Source organism: Homo sapiens, chromosome 5 (genome assembly GCF_000001405.40).
Source record: "Homo sapiens chromosome 5, GRCh38.p14 Primary Assembly".
In the NCBI taxonomy this organism is placed as follows: domain Eukaryota; kingdom Metazoa; phylum Chordata; class Mammalia; order Primates; family Hominidae; genus Homo; species Homo sapiens.
Genome location: NC_000005.10, coordinates 151,657,287 through 151,661,095, shown reverse-complemented (window position 1 = coordinate 151,661,095; position 3,809 = coordinate 151,657,287). Strand labels below are relative to the sequence as shown.

At 45.5% G+C, this 3,809-nt stretch overlaps 1 annotated feature.

Moving 5' to 3' along the window:
* Positions 1,775-1,894: an enhancer, noted in NCBI's record as "active region_23459". NCBI's record gives its function as "activates an Ori minimal core promoter by ATAC-STARR-seq in GM12878 lymphoblastoid cells {active_cell/tissue: GM12878}" and the evidence as "EXISTENCE:reporter gene assay evidence [ECO:0000049][PMID:35858748]".

Genomic DNA, 3,809 nt, shown 5'->3' with positions numbered 1-3,809 from the left:
TGACTTGGACCGGGTGCTCCTTCAGGTAGGTGGGAGATGTAACATTTGCCCTGTGGACTGAATGATGCAGTCTGTCCCTTGGTCAGCCCAGGGCAGATCATACATGGAATACATGTTACTATCACGGTAGCTCTGCCACCAACTTACTGACGTTCAGGGAGCTTGGGTGACTTGGTCATGTGATGAGGCACCGATAAAGGGGGAGAACTGGAACCTGGAGCTTCCTCCCTCATATCTGGATGTTTCACTATAGGGAGCTCCAAAGTTTAAAAAAAAAAATCAGCATCAAAGAGCCATGATGTATGAATCAGCTCAGGGCCCCGGGCGGGAGGACAGGGTAGGGCTGCATGCCCTGCTGGCTTCAGCAAAATTCATCAGCTGAGTTAACAGGGTCCCTCAGAATCCAGAACCCTTAAGGGTAGAGCTTCTATATCCTCCTTCTATCTGTCCTTCTCCCCACTTCAAATCAATTTTTTTAAAAAAAAAAAAACAAAAATTTTAACATTTAAAATAAATTGTATCATTACCTTAGATGAAAAATTAGTATCATTTACCATAGAGATAAACCTTAAAGGTAAATATGGTAAAAATGCACATACAATGAAAAAACAATGTTATGCAGTTATAAATGTGCCTTATGCTTCTTTTTTTTTAGACGGTGTCTCACTCTGTCACCAGGCTGGAGTGCAGTGGCGTGATCTTGGCTCACTGCAACCTCCGCCTCCTGGGTTCAAGCGATTCTCCTGCCTCAGGTGTGTGCCACCAGGCCCAGCTAAGATTTGTATTTTTAGTAGAGACGGGGTTTCACCATGTTGGCCAGGATGGTCTCGATCTCTTGACCTCATGATCTGCCCGCCTCGGCCTCTCAAAGTGCTGGGATTACAGGCATGAGCCACCCTGCCTGGCCTTGCCTCATGCTTCTTAAAGAATGCTGTTTCTTGTTTCAAGAAGAAATCTTAGAGATGTTCTCCTTGATAGAAAGACCAAAGGATAATTGAACTGTAATTAATTCAATCTTAATGCCAAATTCGTAACTCTCCTAAAATCATCTCCTAAACTGAAGTGGTGAGCATCCCTTCCTTTAGGCACTGACTCTTCATGGGAAGGTGTGGGTCCTTTGGAGATAATCCTGGCCCCCTGTACCTTTCATTGAGGAGGAGTTGGCCAGGCTCTTGATGAAATTGGAGGCACCCAGGTCAAAGGGGCCAGAGAATGGAAGCAGCCCTCCCTCCCACTCCTGCTGCAGAACTGGATGGAATCTCATTAGTCCAATGACCCAACACTCTGAACTTGTTTCCTCATCAGTAAAAATCCTGACGATAATGATCCTTGTCTCATAGGTTGTTGTGTCCCAGCATAGAGAAAGCCAATAAATAATCATTATAGTCACCATAATAATTATCATCATCATCATCAACTACCACTCCCAACTTAAATGTGAGGGGTCTGCTCTTTCCTCACTGCCTAGACGGGTACTTTATCCATGAGTCATAATGTTTCCTTCTTCCAGACCACACTCCCTCTGTGAAGGGACGCGGGGCTGTCTCACTCCTGTTAGGCTCTACTGGGCTGGTTGGGGTCTGCATTGGTTTTGGCTACAGGACTGCAATGGTTAAACACTTCCAGCTGGAAACAGAAAAACATAGGTACTCTAAAGATGCAAAGGAGTCCTGGACAGGGTGATAGGAATCTAATTTTCAGGACAGATGTGTGAACCTGGAAAAGTGCCTACCCCTCTAGGGGTTCAGTCTTCTCTTCTAAATCTTGGCAGATGGGGCGCTGGCTGAGATGGTCCTATCTTCAGAGACTTTGATCTCCCTTTCTCTCCTTCTGAATAGGCTGTCCTAGGGATGAGCAAACCTGGACTCTCCCAGGTCTTACAACCTGGTTTCCAGACGGCCCCCCAGAGCCAGCGGGACCCGGCTGCCTCCTGGCTGAGCCATTAGCTGGTGAAGCGGCTGAGGCGGGTTAGGGCTCCCCCTGCTGGGGCTGAGAAGAAAATCTCCTAGACCTGCGCAATGCATCTTAACCTCTAAGCTGTCATGACCCACAGAGGCCATCTAGTCCAGCCCTCTCATTTCCCAGATGGGGAAACAGGTTCAGAGGTTCAGAGACGCGGAAGATACTCCCTCAAGTAGGATTTCCAGATAAAAGACTCCTAGTTAAATTTGAATTTCAAATAAACAGCAAATCATTTTGTAGTACACATACGTCGCATGCAACATTTAGGACATACTTCTACTAAAAAATTATTTGTTGGAAATCTGAAATTTGAACTTAAGCAGTCATCCTATTTCTTTGCTAGATCTGCCAACCGTACCTCCAAGTCCACCCACTGAGTTAATGTCTGAGCTCAAACTGCATCCCGGACATAGGTCAGGGCTTCTCCATCATGCCTGACCAATATCTTTCGGTTGCAGCCCTGCCCAGTACTCCGCAGGGGCATAGGAAAGGCTTGTTGACATCCTTCTGGGAGACAGCAAGTGGAAGGACATCTGAATCCTCACTTTGATGATCACCAGGAGTGTTTCAGACAGGAGGTGGGTCCTCCTCTGCCCCAACCTCTGCTACCGTTAAAAACCCACCAGCAAGGTTTTAATGGCAGAGATTCCTAACATCCCTGCCCAGTCTGGTTTACTAGATTAGGGAGGGGCCTGGACATCTGTATTTTAAAAAAATTCCCCAGGGGATTCTCATGCATAGCAAAGACCCCCTGGATTAGCTATAAGGAAGAACTACTTGGATGAGAAGATTGAAAATGGCACTATCAGTAATTGTCAATATTCACTGTGTATAAAAACCACTGGCCAGGTGCAGTGGCTCATGCCTGTAATCCCTGAACTCTGGGAGGCTGAGGCAAGTGGATCACCTGAGGTCAGGAGTTTGAGACCAACCTGGCCAACATGGTGTAACCTCATCTCTACTAAAAATACAAAACATTAGCTGAGTGTGGTGGCACGTGCCTGTAATCCCAGCTACTCAGGAGGCTGAGGCAGGAGAATCTTTTGAACCCAGGAGGTGGAGGTTGTAGTGAGCCGAGATCACGCCACTGAACTCCAGCCTGGGCAACAAGAACAAAACTCTGTCTCAAAAAACAAAAACAAAAACAAAAACAAAAAACAAAAAAAAACTTTGTGGGTAAGGGAAGGGGAGTGAGGAAGGAATGTAAAATCTGCAAAAACGCATATTCCTAGCTTTACTTCCAGGAATTCTGAGTGAGTAGGTCCAGATTGGGACCTTTTGATAAGCACATGTATGTATTTGTAATGTGTTTTGTTTCTTAAAAAATGAAAATAAAACAGAAGCAAATATGGACAAATGGTAATGGTCTTAGAAGCAGATATTAAGTACATGAATGATCAGTATTCTATTCACCATAATTCAAATATTTCACTAAAAATACTTTTAAAACCTAGGTAGATTTTAGGGGATTGTAATTCAGATGGTCAGAAAGCCATACCTTAAGAAATACTGGCTTGGAGGTAAGAGAGTGAAGAGAGTCACCCACTGCCAAACACATATTAGGTGCCCCCCATACCCAAGAGCTGGGAGAGTTGAGGAAGTTTCTGGGAGGAGATGGGCAGGACCTGGTCTATAGGAGTGGGTAAGATTCAGAGAAGTAGAGGAAATTATGACCACCAGGAAGCAAGCAATCTGTGCAAACAGGAAAATAAGTGCCAGGAGACTCAGGTTGTATCTTGGTCACAGCTGGTGCCCTCCCTGTAAATGACCTCTGGAGTCTGCTATCACTATGCCCTCAGTCAGTACACTGCAGGCATAGTGGCCTCCTTTCTGTTCCTGAAACAGGC